This window comes from Homo sapiens, chromosome 21, assembly GCF_000001405.40.
Source record: "Homo sapiens chromosome 21, GRCh38.p14 Primary Assembly".
NCBI lineage: Eukaryota > Metazoa > Chordata > Mammalia > Primates > Hominidae > Homo > Homo sapiens.
Genome location: NC_000021.9, coordinates 31,669,398 through 31,692,649, shown reverse-complemented (window position 1 = coordinate 31,692,649; position 23,252 = coordinate 31,669,398). Strand labels below are relative to the sequence as shown.

The 23,252-nt window shown below is 39.0% G+C and overlaps 1 protein-coding gene across 9 annotated transcripts in view, besides 1 other annotated feature; it reads left to right on the top strand.

Annotated features, from left to right (window-relative positions):
* Window positions 1-21,650, top strand: part of SCAF4 (SR-related CTD associated factor 4) — a 61,119-nt gene extending 39,469 nt beyond the window's left edge. For 5 of the 9 annotated variants that reach the window (NM_001145444.1, XM_047440931.1, XM_005261017.4 and 2 more), the window contains 8 exons: window positions 201-301; window positions 720-833; window positions 1,697-1,853; window positions 4,186-4,343; window positions 6,917-7,082; window positions 7,166-7,252; window positions 7,410-7,601; window positions 20,296-21,650. In NM_001145444.1, coding sequence (NP_001138916.1) covers window positions 201-301; window positions 720-833; window positions 1,697-1,853; window positions 4,186-4,343; window positions 6,917-7,082; window positions 7,166-7,252; window positions 7,410-7,601; window positions 20,296-21,251 — 1,931 coding nt within the window. In that variant the 3' untranslated portion in view covers window positions 21,252-21,650. The remainder of the gene's footprint in view (window positions 1-200; window positions 302-719; window positions 834-1,696; window positions 1,854-4,185; window positions 4,344-6,916; window positions 7,083-7,165; window positions 7,253-7,409; window positions 7,602-20,295) is intronic. The other 4 variants (XM_047440932.1, XM_017028417.2, XM_006724036.4 and 1 more) reach the window with 1 other exon arrangement.
* Window positions 19,999-20,557: an enhancer, noted in NCBI's record as "H3K27ac-H3K4me1 hESC enhancer chr21:33044406-33044964 (GRCh37/hg19 assembly coordinates)". NCBI's record gives its function as "activates a minimal SCP1, AML or CMV promoter by ChIP-STARR-seq in naive H9 embryonic stem cells {active_cell/tissue: H9 hESC(naive)}" and the evidence as "EXISTENCE:reporter gene assay evidence [ECO:0000049][PMID:30033119]".

The window sequence follows — 23,252 nt, the reverse complement described above, 5'->3', positions numbered from 1 at the left end:
TCTTTCACTATCCCAGTTCTCTTTCTGGAAGTACTAATGCAGTTTTCTAGAATTTTTAAAATGTATGTGAGATTTACTATTTAAACTTGTGGTGTTGTAATATAGTTCATGAATATTTTGTGTAATGATTTTTTAATGTAAGCTACAGTGCTGCTCATTATCAAATGTGAATCTCTTTATGATTGTAATTTTATTTTAAGTTTGCAGTACTACCCTCTGGGTGGGGCAGCTGGACAAAAGAACTACTCAGCAGGATGTTGCCAGTCTCTTGGAAGAGTTTGGTCCAATTGAATCAATTAATGTGAGTGTTTATTCAGTTTTTTAAGTACGATGGACAGGTGTGATTAATGTCATTTTATGAAATGGAGGACCTGAGACCAAAGTTACAATTTGCCCAGGTTTATAGATGTGACTAGAATTTAGGTGTTCAGAGTCCACGTTTAGAATTATCTGTATTTAACATTTCTTAGAATTCTTTGTATTTAACATTTCTTGGATAACCAAGTTTAATTTCAAACATTTCTAGGTAAGTCTTTATATAACAAAGCTTGGAGGACTCAGTTGAGACCAAACTTGAATTGCCAACTTAGAAATGAATTTAACCTTACATTATATAGCATGGGGTGAGGGATGGGATTGTTGGAACTGCTTACTTGGTGTTGTATCTTGTTGCTTTTCAATTTTGTTATCTTTTATAATATTAAAATGTTTTGGAGCAGATGATTCCTCCCAGGGGTTGTGCCTATATTGTTATGGTTCATAGGCAAGATGCCTATCGTGCCCTGCAGAAACTGAGCCGAGGAAACTATAAAGTGAACCAGAAATCCATAAAGGTACAGTCTTACATGTTATAATTAATTTTTTTTTTAAATAGGCAGAAGGGGAAAAATATGTGGCATATAAAAACTAATTTGGGTCTTCGAAATGACTTTCAACACTGAGGCATTTCATGTGCATCTTTTTTTTTTTTTTTTTTTAAAGAATATTTCCTAAAAGAACTCCAGTGTTTCAGCATAAAATTGTAAATGTTACGTGCATGGTAGAATTTGTTTTGTTTTGTTTTTCCTAAATGTAGATGGGTTCATCATGGTAAATTAGTGCTTTAAATATAATGTCTTTTAGCAATATGTTTTGTCCTGTTCAAAAAATTTGGATACTGTATTTTTAAAGTTTGCCATCTTAGAATTAACTGAAAAATATTCACCAAAGGTGGAGAAAAACATATAGGTATATGGGTATTTTTCCCCTAAGGAGCTAAAGTCAGTGTTTCTTCAGTGTCTTAACACCCCATTCTACCGCTGGATTGCACTGCAAAAAGATTTTGTCTGATGTTAAGTAATTACAAGGCACCCCTAGACTTGGAAAAGTAGTCCCCAGTATACTACTAGGCTATTCAGGGAACTTCAGCCTTTCCCTGTTAAACTTTTTCCTTTTCTCTAAGTTTTATGTTGGCTGGGTTGGGTGAGAGTTGGTAAGGAGAAGATGCCAGTGAAATTTCCATCCTAGGACAAAGTGAGAATTAAAGGGTAACCAGTTCTGTAGTGAGAATAAGGCTTTGAATGAGATCCAAGCCTAGCTGGTCCAGATTGCTCCCTTGGTGCCCGAGTCGGAATGGATAGAATGATAGAGAATAATACCCTCAAGACTTACGACCTTGCTTTGTTTTCTTTTTATATTTTCACTAATGGTGAAATAGATTGCCTGGGCCTTAAACAAAGGAATAAAGGCAGATTATAAGCAGTATTGGGATGTAGAACTTGGTGTTACTTATATTCCATGGGACAAAGTCAAGCCTGAGGAACTGGAGAGTTTTTGTGAAGGAGGAATGTTGGACAGTGACACACTTAACCCAGGTAAAGCAGTATTTAATTTCTCTTACAGTTCACTTATTTGCTTGGTAGTACATATGACAAATCGAATGTCCTGTTCCTTGCATTAGGACGTGATTTTTGAGATTTTTTAGGATCCCTCCTGTGTCAGTATCTCCATTATAAACTGAGGGTTAAATAGTGAATGAGACAAAAGAGATGCAAACACAAGTGAAATACTTAACTGATTATGGGATCTATGAATTACAGAATTAAGTAGAACTTTTCCTGTGAAACTTAATAAATCATATAGGTCTTAACTGAGCATCTTTGGTATTATGTTTTTTTTTATTTATTTTTTGAGGTGGAGTCTCTGTAGCCCAGGCTGGAGTGTAGTGATGCAATCTTGGGTCACTGCAACCTCTGCCTCCCAGGTTCAAGCCACTCTCCTCCTTCAGTCTCCCGAGTAGCTGGGACTACAGGCGCGTGCCACCTTGCCCGGCTAATTTTTGCATTTTCAATAGACACGGGGTTTCACCATGTTGGCCAGGCTGGTCTCGAACTCCTGACCTCAAATGATCCGCCCACCTCGACCTCCCATAGAGTTGGCATTACAGGCGTGAGCCACTGCACCTGGCCTGGTATTGGGTTTTAATCCAGTGCTTCATGATAATTACCTTGGAAAGTTTTAGATGTCCAGAGAAGCAATCTAAAGTAAACGTGTAAGACAATGAATTGCAGTTATTTGTGGGCATAAATATTTAAAATGCCAGATTGACAGTGAGATTGCAGGGGGGAAAATCACAGAATGCATGGGCATGACCTGGAGATTGCTAGACAGAGGAACAGGAGGAGCATAGGATGGCATGGCAGTATAGAATGTTTTTTGTTGTTTTTGTTTCGTTTTGAGATGGAGTCTTGCTCTGTCACTAAGGCTGGAGTGCAGTGGCATGATCTTGGCTCACTGCAACCTGTGCCTCCCGGGTTCCAGTGATTCTCCTGCCTCAGCCTCCCAAGTAGCTGGGACTACAGGCGCGTGCCACCGTGCCATGCTAATTTTTTTGGTATTTTTTTTAGTAGAGAAGGGGTTTCACCATGTTAGGCTGGCCTCGAACTCCTGACCTCAGGTGATCTGCCTACTGCCTCAGCCTCCCAAAGTGCTGGGATTACAGGCGTGAGCCACCATGCTCACCCTCACCGCCCTCAGAAAGAACATTTAAAGGAAGCTTCAAGGCCAGGCACGGTGGCTCATGCCTGTAATCCGAGCACTTTGGGATGCTGAGGCAGGCAGGTCACTTGAGGTCAGGAGTTTGAGACCAGCCTGGCCAACATGGTAAAACCCCATCTTTACTAAAAATACAAAAAAAAAAAAAAAAATTAGCTGGATGTGGTGGCGGGTGTCTGTAATCCCAGCTACTTGGAACGCTGAGGCTGGAGAATCACTGGAACTCAGAAGATAGAGGTTGCAGTGAGTTGAGATTGCGCCACTGCACTCCATCCTGGGAGACAGAGCAAGACTCTGTCTCAAAAAATTAAAATAAAATAAAGGAAGCTTCAAGCAGGAGTGACGGTTTCAGAGCCAAAAAGAGATGAAACAATGCTGTACTATTCCCACATCCCACTCCCTCCCTGGATGTACAAAGCCTTCATCTAAGGATAGAGCTAGATTTGTGTTAAGGCAATCAGGTATTGAGGGCCTACTATGTGCTGGACATCTGGGAGGCGCTAGACAGTGGTAAAAAGAAGAAGATGGTGTAATCTTGGGGCTCATGGTCCAGTGGAGAATGTATTGAAAAGCTCAAGAATATAGGAGAATCTGATGGAGCCAGAGCCTCAGAGGACGGAGCAGAAAGACAGTTTTGTTTTCACTTGACTAGAAGATATGTGGAAATAGGTGGGAAGTTTAAGTTATTCTTTAATATTAGTGAAATGTGTTCAGGAAATATTGGGTGTTTCATTATCCTTTATTTCTAATACTTTAAATAATACATTCTTGTGGTTAAGAACATGGACTCTAGAACCAAATGTGTCTGAGTTGAATCCGTCCCTGCCATTTACCAAGAATGTGATCTTGGGCAAGCTGTCTTTGCTTTTCTCATTTGTGAAATGGGAATAATAGTAGTATCTACTTGTAAATGGTTGTGAGAACTAAATAAGCTAGTATAAATAGAGTGCTTGTGACAGTGCCTGGCACACAGTATGCATTCTTTTACATGTTTCTATTGTTGTTAATTTAAATAATTACTATTTCTAAAATTAGCATGGGAATTTCTTTAATAACTGGGCTAGGTTTTTATAATCAACATTTTTCATTTCTAGATTTAAAGTTACAAACTGAAAATGGTAAACTCTTGTTAAATTTCTTTCACGCTCACAGATTGGAAAGGAATTCCTAAGAAGCCTGAAAATGAAGTTGCTCAAAATGGAGGTGCTGAAACCTCACACACAGAACCAGTATCACCCATACCTAAACCATTACCTGTGCCTGTCCCTCCTATTCCTGTTCCTGCACCTATAACAGTGCCACCTCCACAGGTGAGAATATTGGGACATGACTTAAACTTTAAGTGCCTGAAAGGTCCCTTTCTAAATCTTACTGTAGATATATGTCTGGATTCATAGTAAAAAACATGAGTACATATATGTGCATATTACATTTTTCATGTTTTATCAGATTTAAATTTTATATTCTTCACTTTTTTTTTTTTTTTTTTTTTTTTTTTTTTTGAGACAGAGTCTCTCTTTGTTGCCCAAGCTGGAATGTGGTGGTGATGTTGGCTCACTGCAACTTCCACCTCCCAGATTCAAGCCGACCCTCTTGCCTCAGCCACCTGAATAGCTGGGATTACAGGATTACAGGCATTTGCCACCACACCTGGCTAATTTTTGTATTTTTAGTAGAGACGGGGCTTCACCATGCTGGCCAGGCTCGTATCAAACTCCTGGCCTCAAGTGATCTGCCTGCCTTGGCCTCCCAAAGTGCTGGGATTACAGGTGTGAGCCACCGTGCCTGGCCCATAAATGTTTATACAACCAAAATAAATGTATATTGTCTTACATCTATCCATCCAGATTATTCAGTATCAAGTTTCATAGGCTCTGCCTACTTTTTTTCTGAGTCTTCATTCTTCAGGGACTTTGTGTCCTGAAGAAACTTGGATATGTACCCAATAAGCTGCTGCTTTGAGGGACAGGGATTTTCTTAATTTTCACCTTGGATGCTATCCTTATGAAATTTTTAAATGGATTGAAAACTTCATAATAAATGCCATTTAACATGAAGATGTGTTCTTATTATAAAATATTTGCTGTCTAGTCAGCCAACCTGTTACTTGAAAAGCAATACTAGATTCTGGTAGAACTGGGTTTAATTCTCAACTCTGTTGTTTATATTCAGCAGTATGGTATTTGGCATGTAACTTCACTTATAAGCTTCAGTTTCCTATTTGTAAATGTGCAAATTCCCTTTCCTGGCTTTGGCATTCCTCATGTGTTAGAGTTGTTTTGAGGGTTAAATGAGATAATATATGTTAAGTACTCAGTATGTTTTTTGTCACGTCATAAGGGCCGAAAAATGAAAAACCCTTTGAAAATTATAAGAACTTGACCCATAGTTCTATGTGTGATCTACTGGATTTTTCTTGTCTTCCTTCCTCAGTTTCTCACATTAAATCTGAATCAGATAAATCTGAGCTATCATGAAAGTGAATTGTGTCTTCATTTTCTCAATGTGAGGGGAAAACTGTATGCTTTGGTACATTCTTGGCTGTGATTTAAATGGACTCCCCTAGTTGGCAAACTCTTCAGCTGACCTTCTGGATATGCCCCTCCAGTGCAGGTTCTAAGCAAAATTCAATGTGTGTCAGCACTCATTTACAGAAAGCTGCCTGATCTGTTCAGATAGTGGTCTCCAACCTTTCCGGCACCAGGGACCAGTTTCTTGGAAGGCAATTTTTCCATGGACTGGAGTGGAAGATGGTTTCAGGATAAAGCTGCTCCACCTCAGATCATCAGGCATTAGTTAGATTCTCATAAGAACTGCACAAGCTAGATCCCTGACATGTGCATTTCACGACAGGGTTCATGCTCCTATGACAATCTAATGCTGCCGCTGATCTGACAGAAGGCAGAGCTCAGGAGGTGGTGCTTGCTTGCCCACTGCTGTGTGGCCCGTTTCCTAACAGGCCATAGACTGGTAATGGTCCGTGGCTGGGGGGGTTGTTAAAATTTATCTTAAAAAAAAAAATAGCTAACGTTTGTTGGGTATTTAAGTGCCAGGCACCAGCACTTAGTATGTATTAACTCATTTAATCTGCATAATTATGTGTGGTTGGCACTTTGCCGTTTTAGAGAATTTAAATAGCTTGCTCAAGGTCACACAGCTAACTAAAGCGGGTGGGAGAAGCAGACAGTTTGGCTCCAGGACCTGTGATCTTAGCCATTGTGTAAATTGCCAAGTAGCCTGTCTTAAAGCTGTGTTGCTGAAAGGACCATGGAACATTTTAAAATGTATTACATGATGTCAGAACACCAATAAACACTGGTGAAATATAGTGTGAAATTGCTGTCATAAAGTGAAGAGCGCAACTTTGATTTCTTTCTTTCTTTCCTTTTTTTTTTTTTTCTTTTTTTTTTTTTGAAGACCAAGTCTTGCTCTGTCGCCCAGGCTGGAGTGCAGTGGTGCAATCTCGGCTCACTGCAACCTCCACCTCCCGAGTTCAAGCAATTCTCCTGCCTCAGCCTCCGGAGTAGCTGGGATTACAGGTGCTTGCCACCACACCCAGCTAATTTTTGTATTTTTAGTACAGACAGGGTTTCGCCATGTTGACCAGGCTGGTCTTGAACTCCTGACCTTAGGTGATCCGCCTGCCTCGGCCTCCCAAAATGCTGGGATTACAGGTGTGAGCCACCACACCCGGCCCACAGCTTTGATTTCTATCAGTTGGTATGAATAGAAGTTAACTACCACCTGTTATTTAATAAATTGGTCTAATAAGCACAAATTAAGAAACATCTATTTTTTCAACAGTTTGCTCTTTTATCTGTGCTTACTGTGTGGATGGGAGGGTGTCTAGATAGGTGGTTTATTCTTTTATCTTTCTTTCTAGGTCCCACCACATCAACCGGGTCCACCTGTAGTTGGTGCTCTCCAGCCGCCTGCTTTCACGCCTCCTCTGGGAATACCGCCTCCAGGCTTTGGTCCTGGTGTTCCTCCTCCCCCTCCTCCTCCACCATTTTTGCGCCCAGGATTCAACCCAATGCATTTACCACCAGGTACACTAAATTGTCTGTGAACATACTTTAGAGCCTGCGATGGAGTGATACAGCATAAGTTGACATTATTTTTCTTATTCTAGGTTTTCTGCCTCCTGGACCCCCACCTCCTATAACTCCACCAGTATCCATTCCTCCTCCTCACACTCCACCAATAAGCATCCCAAACTGTAAGCATGTTTTTTTCTTTGTGTTTGCTTATCCTCTTGGAGCTGGGTGTAGGAGGGAGAGTGAAGCGGTAATAGGATCTATAGTATGGCATAAGAATGTTGACCGGGAGATAATTAATTATTCAGCTTCACATGTTGATATAATTATATTCCTTAGCTACTATCGCTGGTATAAATGAAGACACTACAAAAGACTTATCTATTGGAAATCCCATTCCAACAGTGGTGTCTGGGGCTAGAGGAAACGCCGAGTCTGGTGACAGCGTGAAAATGTATGGCTCTGCCGTGCCACCTGCTGCACCCACGAATCTGCCCACCCCTCCTGTAACCCAGCCTGTTTCACTTCTTGGTAAGTTATTTTTTTTTATCATTAGTTTTCCTTGCCCCACCCCCCCCCCACCCCCCCACCCATCCCCAAGTTAGATTTTTTTAAAAAAACAATGTTAATTTTGGTAAAATTATTTCCAAGACTGGCTTTTTTGGTTGTTTTGTTTGTTTGTTTGTTTTTGAGGAAGATCTTCCTCTTAAAGTCAAATATGTGTACTTGATCTTTACCAAGAGAGAATCTCAAAGACAAAATCATGTTTGTCTGTCTTGAATAAAAGTTTGGATCTTCACATCCTTATTTGGTATAGAAAAATGATTAAAAGTAATCTCTGTGCAAAGGAATTGGTACAGAGTTCGTAATTCACTTAACCTTAGTCTCTTCCCAGCTTTTAGGAGATACTTCTTTAACGGCATAGGTTTTTCTCTGTCTGGACCAATTATTATCTATCTGAAACCCCTGGACTTGGGTAGCGTTCTTTGTGGGCTAGCAAAGAAATCATCTTTGATACATTCCAATAAAATGGCTTTGTTTTCTAAGTAACAGTTGCGCAGCCTGAGGTACCACTTTCCCACTCACTCTCAGTTTACTTGGCTGGAGTTTATCTGTTGTACTTTTTACCCACAACTTCAATACTGTGATCAAGGGCGATGTGACTTAGATCTTTTACATCTTTAAGCAGGCTTACTCTTGCCTGCTTAAGTTATGAATAAATACATCACATGCTTGTTACAGTAGACCATCTTTTAAATTAACAAATTGTTGTATTTGAAGTGGTATTGCCAAATATAATTAACACTTGAATCCCCTAACTGGAAGTTAATATCTTGAGAGTATTACAGTGTTCTAGTCCTGTGAGCCCATAGTATTTTTCAAAGGTATATGCATATGCCTGTTTGCTTTCATAATCTGAGTTGTTTTAGGAAAGAACCTATTGATTACCTCTGAGATGTAGGACTGTGAGACATTGGTTTGTAATGGAGGACTTTTACTTTTCACCTATGCTATTCAGTACTGTTGGAATTTTTTATTTTTTGCATGTACTATATTTATAATAAAAAAACAATTTGTTTTTAAATGGTATACTGTATTCTGCCCTCCCCTAGACTAAGCTTAGGCTGATAATAGCCTTGAGTTTATTTCCCTTAGTACACAGATTGGGTAATGGTAAAAGAGGATTTGGGATTAAAATTTATCACAAGTGATACAGGAGTGTAGTTACCATAATGATGGAAAATGATTTGTTTAATGAGGAAGTTGCTTAAGAGGTCTACCTTCCAATGGAAGTCATATCATAGAAGGAACATTGGACTAGGAACCAGGGAACATCTTTGCATCTTTTTTGTTATGCTTTTTTTTTTTTCATATTAACATGATTGCACAAGAATCACAGAATCTGGATAGCAACCCCTTCTTCACATCCCACATACACACCCTTGATTATGAATCCTAATCTAAGGTCCATGGATGTTAGACTACCTGAAACTATTTGTAAAATTGCTGCATTTGTGTTTTTTACTGGGTTTAATAAATTTATTGAATGAGTGAAAAGATCTCATGAACTCCAGGAGTTTAATAACCACTGCTTTCAAGCAACTGTGAAGCGTAGTAAGTAGCCTGCCTGTGATTTAACATTTAGGTCTTGAAGACCCTGCCTGTTATTTCTTATCACTACTGAACATACAATTTAACCTCTGCATCCAACATGTGCAACCAAACACAGATGAGAAGTCGGTGAGCTTGGAAAAACATAGTAAGCTAGGCATGGCTAGAAAAGTAATTAAATTCTGAATCAGTCGTAGCGTTTATCATCACCTGACATACTGTTTGCATGTCCATCTTCCTCCCACTAGATGGACCCATGAGAGGGGAACATTTGTTACATGAGCGGGTGGTTTTCAATGCAGGACTGTTCATATTTTACTTCTGATGATTATCTTCGTTCTAAAACAGAATTTTAAAATTGAAGGCTATTCTAAATCCAGAAGGGTTTAGAATTTGACATAAGAAAAGTGAAAACAATTTTGTTAAAATAAGCACTTTGAACTAAAATGCAATATGTTAGTTCAGTCATGAGAAAGAAAGCCTTCCATGTGCCTTCAGTCAGCAGTCTTGAAAAGAATATCACAGGAATTTTGACCTTATAGAGGAATGAGTTTTAAATGTGTATGCAAGTTAAGAAGGGTTCATCTAAGACTAACCAGTTTTATCATTTTGATAAAGGAATGTGGTGACCACACTGCAGTATTGCAGTACTAAAGGATCAGTAATTAGGTTGGGATAACAAGTGATGGAATCCCAGAACTAAGATGCTTTGGTATTTCCTCTTGGTGCTCTAATGTTTTCTTTTAAGATAATAAAAGGAATTGTTATGCTCACCAGAAAACTATAAGTCTAGAAGTTGATGCTAAACTTCAGTTTTCTCATCTCTAAAGGGGGAGAAAAATGACAAACACAATGGTGTCACGATGATTTAATGGGCTAACATCTATAAAACACTTGCTTTGGGGCCTGCTGTAGGGCAGGCACTTAGTGAGTGGTGGGTGCTTATATTACAGGTAAGAAATGTCATAGATGTTATTTATAAGACCTAGAGAAGAATATCTTTTGCAATTCTAAAATTACATTACTTCATCTGTGATTCGTTTTAAACTGTTATATTGGCAGACAGAGGAAGCAAACTTTTTTTTTTTTTTGAGATGTGTCTCACTCTGTCGCCAGGTTGGAGTGCAGTGGCGCAATCTCATCTCACTGCAGCCTCCGCCTCCCAAGTTCAAGCGATTCTCGTGCCTCAGCCTTCCAAGTAGCTGGGACTACAGGCGCGTGCCACCACGCCCAGCTGATTTTTCTATTTTTAGTAGAGACAGGGTTTCACCATGTTGGCCAGGATGGTCTTGATCTCTTGACCTCGTGAGCCACCGCACCTGGCCTACTTTTTAGGAAAAAATTTATCTTGACATAGTTGCCTCAGATATTTTCGAGATAGATTAGATCATAAATTTACACATATTAAAGTTCCATCAGTTGGCTTAATGAGAAAATGTGTCAGTTTAGTGATAAATAGCACACCTACTAGATATCTGTAGTTTTTCCAGTGAGCGAGACTTAACTGAGTTCTTGGATCTTAATTTGTGAAATGTGGCAATATTTTTAAAGTACTAGGCACCAAACAGTTGTTCAGTGGGTCTCCAAAAATTCTGTAGTGAAGCCTGATTATACTGGAAAGAGGCAGTGGGTGCCTTAAGGATGGTTTGGTTGTATCATCAGACTTAAGTGCGGGTGTTAGTTTGGGAGTAATTAGTTGAGTTGTACTACTGAATTTGGAGGGAATAAAACCAACTTTTAGAGATTTTGATTCTTTTAGTAATACTGATAATCTGAAAATATAAAATTACTTGATGCGCAATAATTATTACTTGATTTTAAAGAAATCTCACACACCCAAATAGCTACAGTGGTGGTAGTTTCATAAAAGCTAAAGGTAACATTCTACAGTTGTTGGTCACTTAGGAGAGAAGGAATATTACAAATGATAGCAATTCAGTTCATTCTCTTTACTGTATAAGTGTTTGTGTTTTACTTTTCAAAAACTTTTGTATAACATGTATCTCTAATATGTACAACCTATTTTTATTAAAAAGTTCATTGTAAATGTAAAGTTTGGGTTACTTTGGTGTTCCAAACAATAAAAAAGAATACACAAAAAAATGTTTGTTTGTGTTACCTATCTGTACTGTGTTACCAGTATATCCAAAATATCTTTTCAAGCAAAAACTGTTCTAGGTCGAACTCATTCCTTTTATGGAAAATTAAAGCCTCTTGACAAGTATGTTTATTCATTAATTATCAATATGAAGAGATTACCACCAGTTTTTGTCACACTACTGTAGCTGATGGTAAAATTTATAAATAAGAGTTGAGTATTTGTAAGATCACTTCCTACTTGTAATTTTTGTTACCAAAGGTTTTAAAGCAAGAGTAACAAGTTGGTGGCCTGTGGCTAAATTACTAGGCAGTGGTGTGCTGCGCTGCAGTCCTGGCATGGCTTCAGTAGACATTTGAGTTGATGATTCCAGATTTGGACACCTCAGGAAATTGTGGGGACAGAATTGGTTTGTGAATTATATTTAAACAAGCGCAAATGTTTTTATGCTATCGTTATGATCCCTGAAACTGCCTAAAAGATGAATAACTTTGCCAGCAATATCAATAGGAATTTGATTTTGATGATTTCACTTAAGTTTGGATTTCTTTGCCCAGTTTCTGTCTAGAATTTTAGATTTTTTAGTAGCTCATTTTTAGCAACACTTACTAGAATATTAAAGCACCAGTCTACTAGTAATGCACTAGTTAGCCACTGACATTAAAAGGAAGCCTGAAGAAAATTCTAGAAAGTAGAGTTTTCAAAGTACTAACATAATACGTAATTTTTTAAAAAACAATTTTTGTGTTTTAATTTTGTTTGAATTTTGATGTTTGGTTACATTAAATTATAAGCTAGAGTGATATATCAGGTATTTAATTTGGTACCCAAAAAGCCTGTTTACTTATCCTATAAAAGTGTTCTTCTTTGAAAGCTTTAAAATATTTGAATTGGTACTCTAATTATTGTATTAATGTTATTCCACTAGTGTTATATAGTAGAAATGGTTCTTAAATACGAATTACAGTACCTTCAACTTAGTATATAACCTTGTTCATTGGATACAGTGGATAATGCAAAATAGTGATTAATCTAGAACAAATACTTGGCGTGGATATGAATTTACACATGAACACACCATAGTTTCTCCCAAGGCAAAGCACTTCAAATGAAACATGGAGAAAGTCTTGCAGAAAACCTTGAAATGTTTTAACACATTGTCTCCATTTCTCCTGGGCTGTCACTTGTTAGGCTGCTCCAGAGTGCAAGTCTGAAGAATGGCTTAAATGTAAATCTCTCTGAGGGACATCTTGAGGAAGGTGGGAGGGGCAGTAACTCTGGGCTCTAGATTGATTTTGGTAGACAAAGTTAATTGCTGTAAAGAATTTCAGGTAAGATTTTTTTCCGGCTAATATTGAAAATAAAATTGCCTACAGATAATCTCATTCAGTGATAGAAAGTTAACTTTAGATTTCAAGTTTATTGACTCTAATAGTGAAATTTTAACTCATAGCTATTGCACTTTGTCAATTATAGTAACATACTTAAGTAATTATTATTATGCTAACTGAAATTCCAAAAAGCAAATCTGTAGGAAGTTGACCATGCAGAGCCTACTGTACATTATTTTGAAAAAACCAAGCATTTAAAAAAGGTAATCATTCTCCAATTTCACTTATAATTCTGTTTTTCATGTATTAGATGTTATCAAAATATACCCTTATGCCAAAAATAGATGAGTCACATCTCAGTATATCTGCATTATATATTATTGAAAACTCAAATTTCTCTTAAGAATCTCTTGCTAACATTCTAAGCATCATTTTTAAAATATAATCTTAATGTATAATACAATCTGAAAGATGCTTTTTCTCATTCTTTGAAAATTGGCTCCTTATTCTTCCATTTTCCGCAGCTCTCAGAACATAGTGCCTTCTATAAGAATAACCCAGGAGTGTTTTCAGAATAAATAGGCCTAAATGTTATTGGTGAATCTATGCAAAGGAAATAACATGTTGGTTGTACTGTTATTTCAGTTTTCTGCAGGTCTGAAATGGAAAAAGGATAATACTTGCTGATTAAAAAAAAAACCTAGGGATATATGCTTAGGGATCTTCAGGTATTGATGAAAGAGATGAGTGGTTGATACATCTTTTTCTTCATGTGGGAAAAGTTCATGTTTAGTTCATGCAAAGTGCCACAGTGACACTCATTCTGTAGAGATCAAATCAAAACGGTGGAACTGCAACAAAGAACAGAAAAGGAGGTTGAAAGAAAACATCCTTTCTCAAAGTTCAAGTCCTCCTAGGTTTATGCTGGGAAGATTCTTACCACCCTGGGAAAAGACCTGGAGCTTGTAGCCTCTATTCTTAATTCCCTGAGAGGTATCTTCTCCTTGATGAGTTTGGTCATCACCTCTGCAAACACCATTCACTCATATGTTCAATAAATATCTAATCAATAACCATTGTGTGCCAGGCACCCTTCTAGGTATACTAGAAATACCAGAATGAACAAAACAAAACCTGTCTTTCTGGAGTTTATATTTTCGCAGACCTGGGCTAATAATTTAACATGGAGAGTAAAACAGGACAGTTAGGCAGTATAAGGGTGTAACACGGATATGTACAATTTTAAATACGATTGCTAGGGAAGGCATCTGAACCAGTAATGAAGAGAATATCCCCATGTAAATACAGAGGAAAGGAATGTAGAGTGAGGACCAAAGGAAAGGGGGCCTGAATTGAGATGGGGCATGGATTGTTGAAGGACCACAGCAGGAAGGGAGAGCAAAGGGAAGAAAGTGGCAGGAGATGAGCTTAGAGAAGGTTGTTGAGCACTAGGCTTTGAGTGCAGTGGGAAATGGTGTAGAGTCTTTTATCCATGCCATGATCTGATGTGCAGTTTTTAAAGTATTACTGTGGCTGTTAGAGAAACAGACTCTAGAAGTTGGTAAGAGTGGAAAGGAGACCGGTTCTGATGCTGTTGCAGCAGATGAGATGGGAGCTAGCCCACGTTGGGCTGGTGCAATGGAGGTGATAAGTGGTTAGAGTCTGAAGATATTTTGAAGATAGAGCCTTCAGAATTGCCATATTACTTAAATACGGAATGCGAAAAAGAGTCAAGAATGACTCGTTTTTTATGTGAGCAACTGGTAGATGTAATTGCCATTCCTGTGATGCGCAAATCTGTAGGAGTGGGTTTGAGGGGAGCCTATCAAATTAAAATGTTGGATATTCTAACTTTGATACCCAGGTACAGATGTCAAGTAAACTACTGGTAACATCTAATAGAGCTGCAAATTCTGGCATCTTCAGCAGATAAAGATAATATTTAAAGCCGCAGGAGCCTGTGAGATTACCTAAGGAGAAAATGTAAATAGAGAAGTGGTGAGAGGTCTGAGGACAAAATTCTTCAGCATTTGGCAGCTAAGAATATGATGCTGTGAGACTAAGGTAGACATAGTTCCACGTGCCAGAAACTCTTAAGCAGTTTGTGTATATTAATCATTTAACCCTTGCAGCCCTCAGGGTTATCTTCATTTTATAGATGGGGAGACTGAAGCACTTGGAGATGAAATAACCTTCCAAGGGTCACATAGCTACAAGTAGCCGTGTTAGAATTCAAGGTAGCCCCACTCCAACAGGAGCCTGTGCTTTTGACCACTATCTATACTGTACTCTCCAGCAAAGGATGCTGAGAAGGTACAGCCCGTGGGCTAGGATAAAAATGTAGAGGGAGATAATCTGAAAGCCAAGTAGAGTTTCTAGGCAGGAAAGAGGGGGAGAGAGGTGAACTATCAGATGACACTGATGGATCAAGAAAGAGCGCTGCGACTTGGCAGCTGGATTTAGCAAAATGAAGGCTCCTGGTGACTGTGAGAAAAGTGCTTTCATTGGATTGATGAGTTCAAAAGCCCAGTTACATAGGGTTGTGAGAGACTGGGAGATGAAGGATACAATTAGGATTTTGAACATCTCAGGAGATTTGCTATAGAGGAGAAAAACAAGATGGGGTGATACCTGAAAGGAGATGCAGGGTGAGGGAGTTTTTAATTTTTGTTCTTGTTTCTGAAAGATGGGCAAAAACTACAGCATACTTATGATTGGGAAGCCCAGTAGAGGGGAGAATGTTGGTGCAAGCAAGAAGGGCTATGTGCTCGGTTGTTATGTAGGTGAGAGGGGACAGATCCAGGGTACAAATAACAGGTGTAACCATTGGAGCACGGACAGTCACAGACAGTAGGAGTAATGTGGATTCAGGTGCAGGTAAATTGGTAGATTTGGTGGCATGTGGGTGGATGAAAAAGTCTTTTTCTAAAGACCTTTTTAAAAAAATGATAAGCCAACTAGGGTAACTAAAATATGGTATATTCATATCACGGAATATTAGTAATAAAAAATGAAGGACTTAAACATGCAACATGGATGAACCTTGAGAAGATACGCCAAGCAAAAGTCAGTCACACAGGACCACATATTTTATGATTCCATTTATACAGAATGTTAATAGGTAAACCCACAGAGACAGAAAACATTATGTGGTTGCTTGGGGCTGGGACAGATGAGGGGAAAGCTGGGGAAATAGAGATGGCCCACGGATGCAGGATTTCCTTTTAGGGTAATAAAAATGTTCTAAAGTTGATTGTGATAGTTGCCCAATTCTGTGAATATACTAAAACCATTGAATAGTACATTTATGTGGGTAAATTACAGGATGTGTGAATTTTACCTTACTGAAATTACCAAACAAAACAACTAAGAGTAGACAGGATGAAGGAGGACCTTGAACATGTGTCCTCATCCAGGACATGAGAATGTGGATTGACTAGGAAAATGTTAGATTACTGGCCAGAATGAAGGGTCCACTTGGGTTGTAATTACAGAAATTTGAAATGAGAGCAGTCAGCATACTCCATGTCCAGGTGGAGATTAGGCAGAAGAGTTGCATTTAAAACCAATGTTGGGGATTTTCCAGGCAGATATGGTGAGGGAGAGCCATGGACTCCAGAGCAGGTAAGGATTAAGATAAAAACATGAAGGGCCTTGTGAGGCATGAGCCTGGTGGGATTGAAGATTGTTTGGGGAAAGGAGATCTGGAGAGAATAACCTGGAAAGAGGAGAAGCAGGTAAAGAGTGGGGTACTTGAAATTGGGAATTTGGAAGTAATGACTTTATTAGTGATCAAACATCTAGAGCTCCTAGAGATGGTGGCTCTGGTAGAATGGAAGATAGGGTTGTTGACCAAAACAGGTAGAGGAACTGAGTCGTTCCTCTTTTTCTGTAAAGATCTCACTGAAATTTTGCATCCTCTGCAAAATCCTCTGCAACTGATGCAGTTGGTCACTCCCACAATATTTAAATCAGACCTTTTACATTTTATGTTTTATATCTGTCTCCCTGACTGCGTACACTCTGTGGTCCTTGACAGAAAGCCACCCTATTCATTATATGCCTTTTGTATCCCTTATGCACATTCTCCGGAGATTTCAAGGTCCACGTTGGACTCCAACTATGAAATCAACCTTCCTTTCTCCCACCTCCCCCGTAGCCCTTTAATGTACTTGTTCTTTATTTCACACCATTTCAGGCATCTTTGCTGTAGATGGCAATGGTGTCTCCCCACCCCCTTTTGTAATTGTAAATCAACTGTTTTTTGGATCGTCATAGGAAATATTTACAGATTCTTGGTTATTTTTAGTTAAACTCCAGTGTGTTTTCCATACTTCCCAAATTTGAATTCAGGCACTTAGAGCCATCACTGTTTTGGTCTGCCCTAATGCCTCGCTGTATTAAAAATTTGTTTCCCAGGTCTGAGCCCTTTTTTGTTTCACCTATATTCCGGGGGAGTTAACACCATCACTCTTCTGATCTTGCGTTGACAGCTGCATCCGCTCAGTTAAGGCAGAGAGCTGTGTTCCTACATCGCTTACACCCTGTCCTTCCTGTCCACTAAATGTCTTCAGTGTGTCCTCCATCTCTAGCACCTCTCACTTCAGTCTCTTGTCACTATCACTGTCACTGCTGGATTCTCCGAATAAGTGCCTAACTACTCTCGAGGGGCCTTCCCCTCTTAGCTATCCTATACACTACTTGCCAGAAGGATCTATCAAAAACAATCATAGAATCATTTATCCCTGCTAAAAATTACTTGGTTTTCTGCACCACTAGAGGTCAAAGTCCAGGTTCCTCCTTATGGCATATAGGGCCTGTGAATTGCCCTGACTTATCTCTTTAGCTTCATAAACCTCATCTGTATTTTCTCCTTTCTTCTTAGTTTTCATCAAGTCATTTTATTGTGGTTCTCTGAACCACACACACCACTGCTTTACCTTGCTATATGCCTTTTCAAAAGCTGCTAGTAATGTCTTGATAGTAACGTCCTTCCTTAACTCACTGGCCTTGTGCATTTTCCTTTGAGATCCAATTCAGACACCCCCGATGACTGCCACTCAGATTCACACACCAGCTTTATGAGTCCCACCTCTATACCACCATGCTAGCTTGTGCCATCTCCTACAGCAATTGAAATTTGTCTATTTCTACCAAACTGTCCCTTTTGAAGGAAAGGACTATTAAATGAGTTAATAGAAAATTCAGATATTTAATACATAATATGAATGAATTGGGTTTTTTAAAAATTTATAACTTTAGAAAACTCATCAGTGATATCACACGTCATATTTCCAAATGAAATGAACAATTGCTTTGAATGCCCTTTTCACCTGGGTAACTCACAATATACTGATGGTTTATGCCTAATGCCAGCTTTCCTAATAAGGACTTCCTAGCTAGCATGCTTGCCAGTCTTCTGCCACCTAATGTGTTTTTAATATAACTGGTTATAAAAGCATTACATGTTCACTGCAAAAGGGAATAAAAGGAACTACAGATAAAATTTTTTTTGTGGTCTGAAGGCCATCTGGGGCTATGGGCATATTCTATCAGGAATCTATAAATTTAGTTGGCTCTCAAAGGGTTAAAAGGAAACCCAGCTGGCCACATCTTTTTAGCTTTATTTACGAAGAAGGGAAAGGATTTGAGTGTATAATGTTTTAAGCAAATCCCACACACAAATATCCACATGTATCAAACAAGTAGGCAATTCTTTATAAAAATTGTGCTTTTATATAAGGTTTATATGATTATTGTAAATTTTAACCCTGTTAATTTATACCCTCAAATGAATGCTGTAAAGTACTTAAGAGATGTGGTCCTTCAGTCTGGGGTTTGTATTTTATCATCAGGGCCCATTTTCTCTCTTCTGTACAAAGTTGAGGTGGCTTTGCATCCTTTGGCCACTGTCAGATACTTGAGGAAGCCAAGTCAATGGGGCATCAGGAGTAGGACCTTCCCATTGCCCTTCAGGAATCACTTTCCTTTTGAAGACTCATCTCAACTAAATTCTCTTGTTATAATAAGATGCTTTGAAACTGTTTCCCCCGTTTTTCTGGTGTTATATTATAATTTGGCTTGGCCACTTGAACCTATAGATAGGCACCAGAATGTTCTATGCTGACCTCCGTTAACAGTAAACATTGGTCATTTTAGTCCTGGAAAACAAATCTTTACTGATAAAAGGTAATGGGAAAGTAAAGTTCAGTTTGTTTCAGGTGTTTCTATATAATGATCCCTCTATTAAAAGAGACTGTGCCTGGGCATATACATTTTATGTTTTGGATTAAAGTCCACAGGTGTTGGAACTACACTATTTCTTTACAAAGTGAAAGCAAGGACATGTGCTTCTGTTGCCCCAGTGTATGGTATATACTCGGTAAATATTTCCCAAATGATGTGAAGAGTGTTTTATTTCTATCTGAGATACAGTGTAGCTGGTGTCCTGTACTTGTTCATTGGGATTTTCCCAAAGTGTCTGAAGAGCCTGTGAAGGGACAGAGCCATCACCTCATCCATTTCACAATTTCTGGCGCTTTTGCTGTGGTAATCAGCATTTCCCAATTGGTCATTTTTCTGTCAGTGTCACCCAAGTATTTTTCTTACCATTGCTAACTGATCATAACCCATAACTTGCTCAAAGACCTTTCTGCAGCACATGGGTAAATAGCATGTTCTTAACAGTACCTGGAACATTTTCCATTATCAGAATAACTCCTTTCAATCATAGTATTATAGTATTTGTCTTATTTATATTTGCAAAAGGATAAATTGAGAGATTCCAATGCTTTTCTGTACCTAAGTGGTGAACCCCAAGCAGAAAATGACAGGTTGTTGAACTTGCGTGACTCTTATATCAGTATGAGCAAACCCTCATGTAGATAGGAAAATAAAACCAAGAAGTCATTGTTATTTCAGCAGCACCAACCTTACCAGACTTGCCACCTTTGGAAGAATGAATAGAAATAATGAATAGAAGGTGAACAGCTGAACATTGAGCATTATTCAGGTCGTGATGGCCTCGCAAGTTAAATATCATGCTGTGCCTTGAAAAAGGAACTGTAACAGTAAACTTCACATTTGTGTATGGATCTTTGTTTTGTAGACATTAGTGTTTATTTGATGCACATTGCATAGTAACTGCATGAGGCATTTTAATAATATGGACTAAGTGTAGCATGGAGTCAAAGAGATCTTCCTCTTTCCTGGGTTTTCTAGGTCAGTGACCTCATTTTTTTCTAGTAATAAGACGGGGTGTAAATTTTCTAAGTGTGCACCTGCAGTATGCTTAGTTAGCTTGAATAGTTACTGATAGTGAATGTATTTATCTCATTAGGACTTAGCACACTGTGTTTCTCAAATGTATTTGGAGTGGGAAGACAGCTTCTAATGAAAGCTACAGGAGATTTTGACATACTCTTTGAAAATTGGTATTACCATTACTATTTTATTTCCCAGTTTATTCTGGCCTCTACCTGTATTAGATACTTTAAAAATGTCTTTGCAATTGCTTGCCTTAGGTTGTTACTAGGCCTCACACTGGGTTTGTGACAGAGTGGCAAACTATGAAATTTGAAGATTGTGGGTTGAATTTTATTTTGCTTTAAGCGCCACAGAACACAGCTGAAACTGGAGTGCCATCTTCGGTGGTGTTTACATTTTTATTTTTGTCGTCTTTTAGGCACTCAAGGAGTTGCCCCTGGTCCTGTAATTGGACTTCAGGCACCATCTACTGGTCTTCTTGGCGCCCGGCCCGGTCTCATCCCACTCCAGCGCCCTCCAGGAATGCCCCCACCTCACTTACAGCGGTTCCCTTTGATGCCGCCCCGTCCCATGCCACCGCACATGATGCACAGAGGCCCACCGCCAGGACCAGGGGGCTTTGCGATGCCTCCACCTCATGGAATGAAAGGTCCCTTCCCACCGCATGGCCCCTTTGTTAGGCCTGGTGGAATGCCAGGGCTCGGGGGCCCAGGGCCAGGCCCAGGGGGTCCTGAAGACAGAGACGGAAGGCAACAGCCGCCGCAGCAGCCACAGCAGCAGCCACAGCCGCAGGCGCCCCAGCAACCACAGCAGCAGCAGCAGCAGCAGCCACCACCATCACAACAGCCTCCACCAACACAGCAGCAGCCACAGCAGTTTAGAAATGATAACAGGCAGCAGTTCAATTCAGGTAGAGACCAAGAAAGGTTTGGAAGAAGATCTTTTGGAAATAGGGTGGAAAATGACCGGGAACGGTATGGGAACCGTAATGATGATAGAGATAATAGTAACCGTGACAGGAGAGAGTGGGGAAGGAGGAGCCCTGACCGGGACAGGCACAGAGACTTGGAAGAGAGAAATAGACGCTCTAGTGGGCATCGAGACAGAGAGAGAGATTCTAGAGATAGAGAGTCTCGTAGAGAGAAGGAAGAAGCCCGAGGAAAGGAAAAGCCTGAGGTGACAGACAGGGCAGGTGGTAACAAAACCGTTGAACCTCCCATTAGCCAAGTGGGAAATGTAGACACTGCTTCAGAACTTGAGAAGGGGGTGTCTGAGGCTGCAGTCCTAAAGCCTTCTGAAGAGTTACCTGCTGAGGCTACCTCATCCGTTGAACCCGAAAAGGATTCTGGCTCAGCAGCAGAGGCTCCTCGTTAGAGACTGGAATTTGTGAAAATGTGACAGTGACACTTCCTGGAGTGTAGAGCTTGAGGTGTACAGATGCTGTATTATATCCGCTCCCGCTGTACTGCAGCCCCGCGCCAGCTGGTGGGGAACTGTAAGCAATTTGATTGCTTCCCTTCTATTTAAAAATAGCCACAAAATAACAAAAAATACTGAAAATATGAATAAATATTACCCTTTTTGCTGTAACTTTTTAAAAGTTTTGACTTTAAAAAGTTTACAAATCGTAATTAGAAGTGCTCTCTATTTTTTTTTTTTTTTTTAATTTAAGACAAGGTAACGGTGAAAGCTCCTCAAAACAATAGGGATGTTTTTAATAAACTCTATTTTCGTAACAAACTTTAATGTGTGCTATTCTTCCTACACTGCATTAAGGTGGAAAAGGATTGTTCACCGTCAAAGTTTGAGCTGTTAATACTGTATTGGAGTCTAAATTAGACTTATTTGATGAAAATAGACATTTTATGTAGTTATTCTCACTTTCATATGTAATACTTTTGATTTTTAGTGCTCAGTCATAAGGTAAAGGTTAGTTGTTTTAATGTCAATTGAAAAGCTGTGTTTGCAATTCAATCGAGGTTTTCTTTTTTTTTCCATTGGCTTTGTGGTATATGTTGCCCTAATTTGTAAGGAGATTTTGCTGGGTGAAAAGTTGGATCCCAGTGTTACACGTTGTACTATAAATTATCGGACTGCCTGGGTATTACGTTAGAAGGTTGCGTGTGTGTGTGTGTGTGTCTGTGGTTTTTTTTTTTTCCAACCATCCCATTGAATTTTTCAAAAGGGTAAAAGAATCAAGGTTAACATTTGCAACCTAAGAGCTTTTTGTTGTGTTTGAGGACTTCAGTGCAGCCTACTACTGTTTCCTTATATAAGCCTTGCCTGTTGCCTTTCTTCACCAGCGTTTTAATTCCCCTGCGGGGCAGAGGTAAACGAACTTTTCCCCCACATATACGTTCTTTCTTTTGCTTAAAGTTGGTGGGTTAAATAGGAAAAATCGTTGTAGGTTATCCAAGAATTATCACATGAAAACATCTAAAGCCAAGTCAAGCCTTCATCTGAAATTGCAGGAAATCCAGTGCCAAGACCTGATGTCACACTATCCAAGTATTTATGGCCTTGAAGTTGTTTTGAATTACTTTTTCAAACTCCTGGTTTCAGTATGCTGAGCAGTTAACTTTGTCTTTGCCTTCATCCTCAGGCGAAGCTGCTTTATTACTCTGGTTTTTAAATAATACTCAGCAGCAAGACCTTTGGTTTGATGGGGAGAATATATCTAGGGCAATGTCCTTATATTCCTGCCTTTAGAAAATGAGAGAAAATTGTTTTATATTTATCTGTAAATTTAAATTATAAAACTTGTCCTTAATTTTACACTGGCCCACTGAGAAGTTTTAAAGTCCTAACAAATGGCTTCTGGAAGAAAACGTGATTACCCAACATCCAGACTTGAAGGACTTACAGCCTGTATTTCCAATTTAAAGTATTGGGACCATCCTATATGCACATGTAAAAACTGGTAGTGTAATTATATTTGAAGTTTCAAAAGGCATAAGTGAGTCTCTAATTGAGTTATTCCACATAGGCAACAAACTACATTAGGGAAATGTGTTAAATACTGCTTTTTAAAAATTCTCTACTGAGATTTAAAGAATGGTTGTTTTAACCACTTACTGTGAACATACTGTTGTTTACCATAATTTTAAAACTTTGGAAACACTACAGATTTGTCTTCCAATTTAGCTTTTCCTCTCCTAAATGATCTCTCCTACATTTGATAAAGTACATATTTATGAACAAACAGCATTTCACTTATTTCTGGTTTATCAGAAATAATATTCTACAATTTCCAATTGAATAATTTAGTCAAACCTGAGTTAGGTTAACATTGAAAAGCATTCTCTCAGGTACATAAATACATTAAGAGAAAGTGACTCATTTCACTAATTCGGTGTGTAAATTATTTCTCAACAG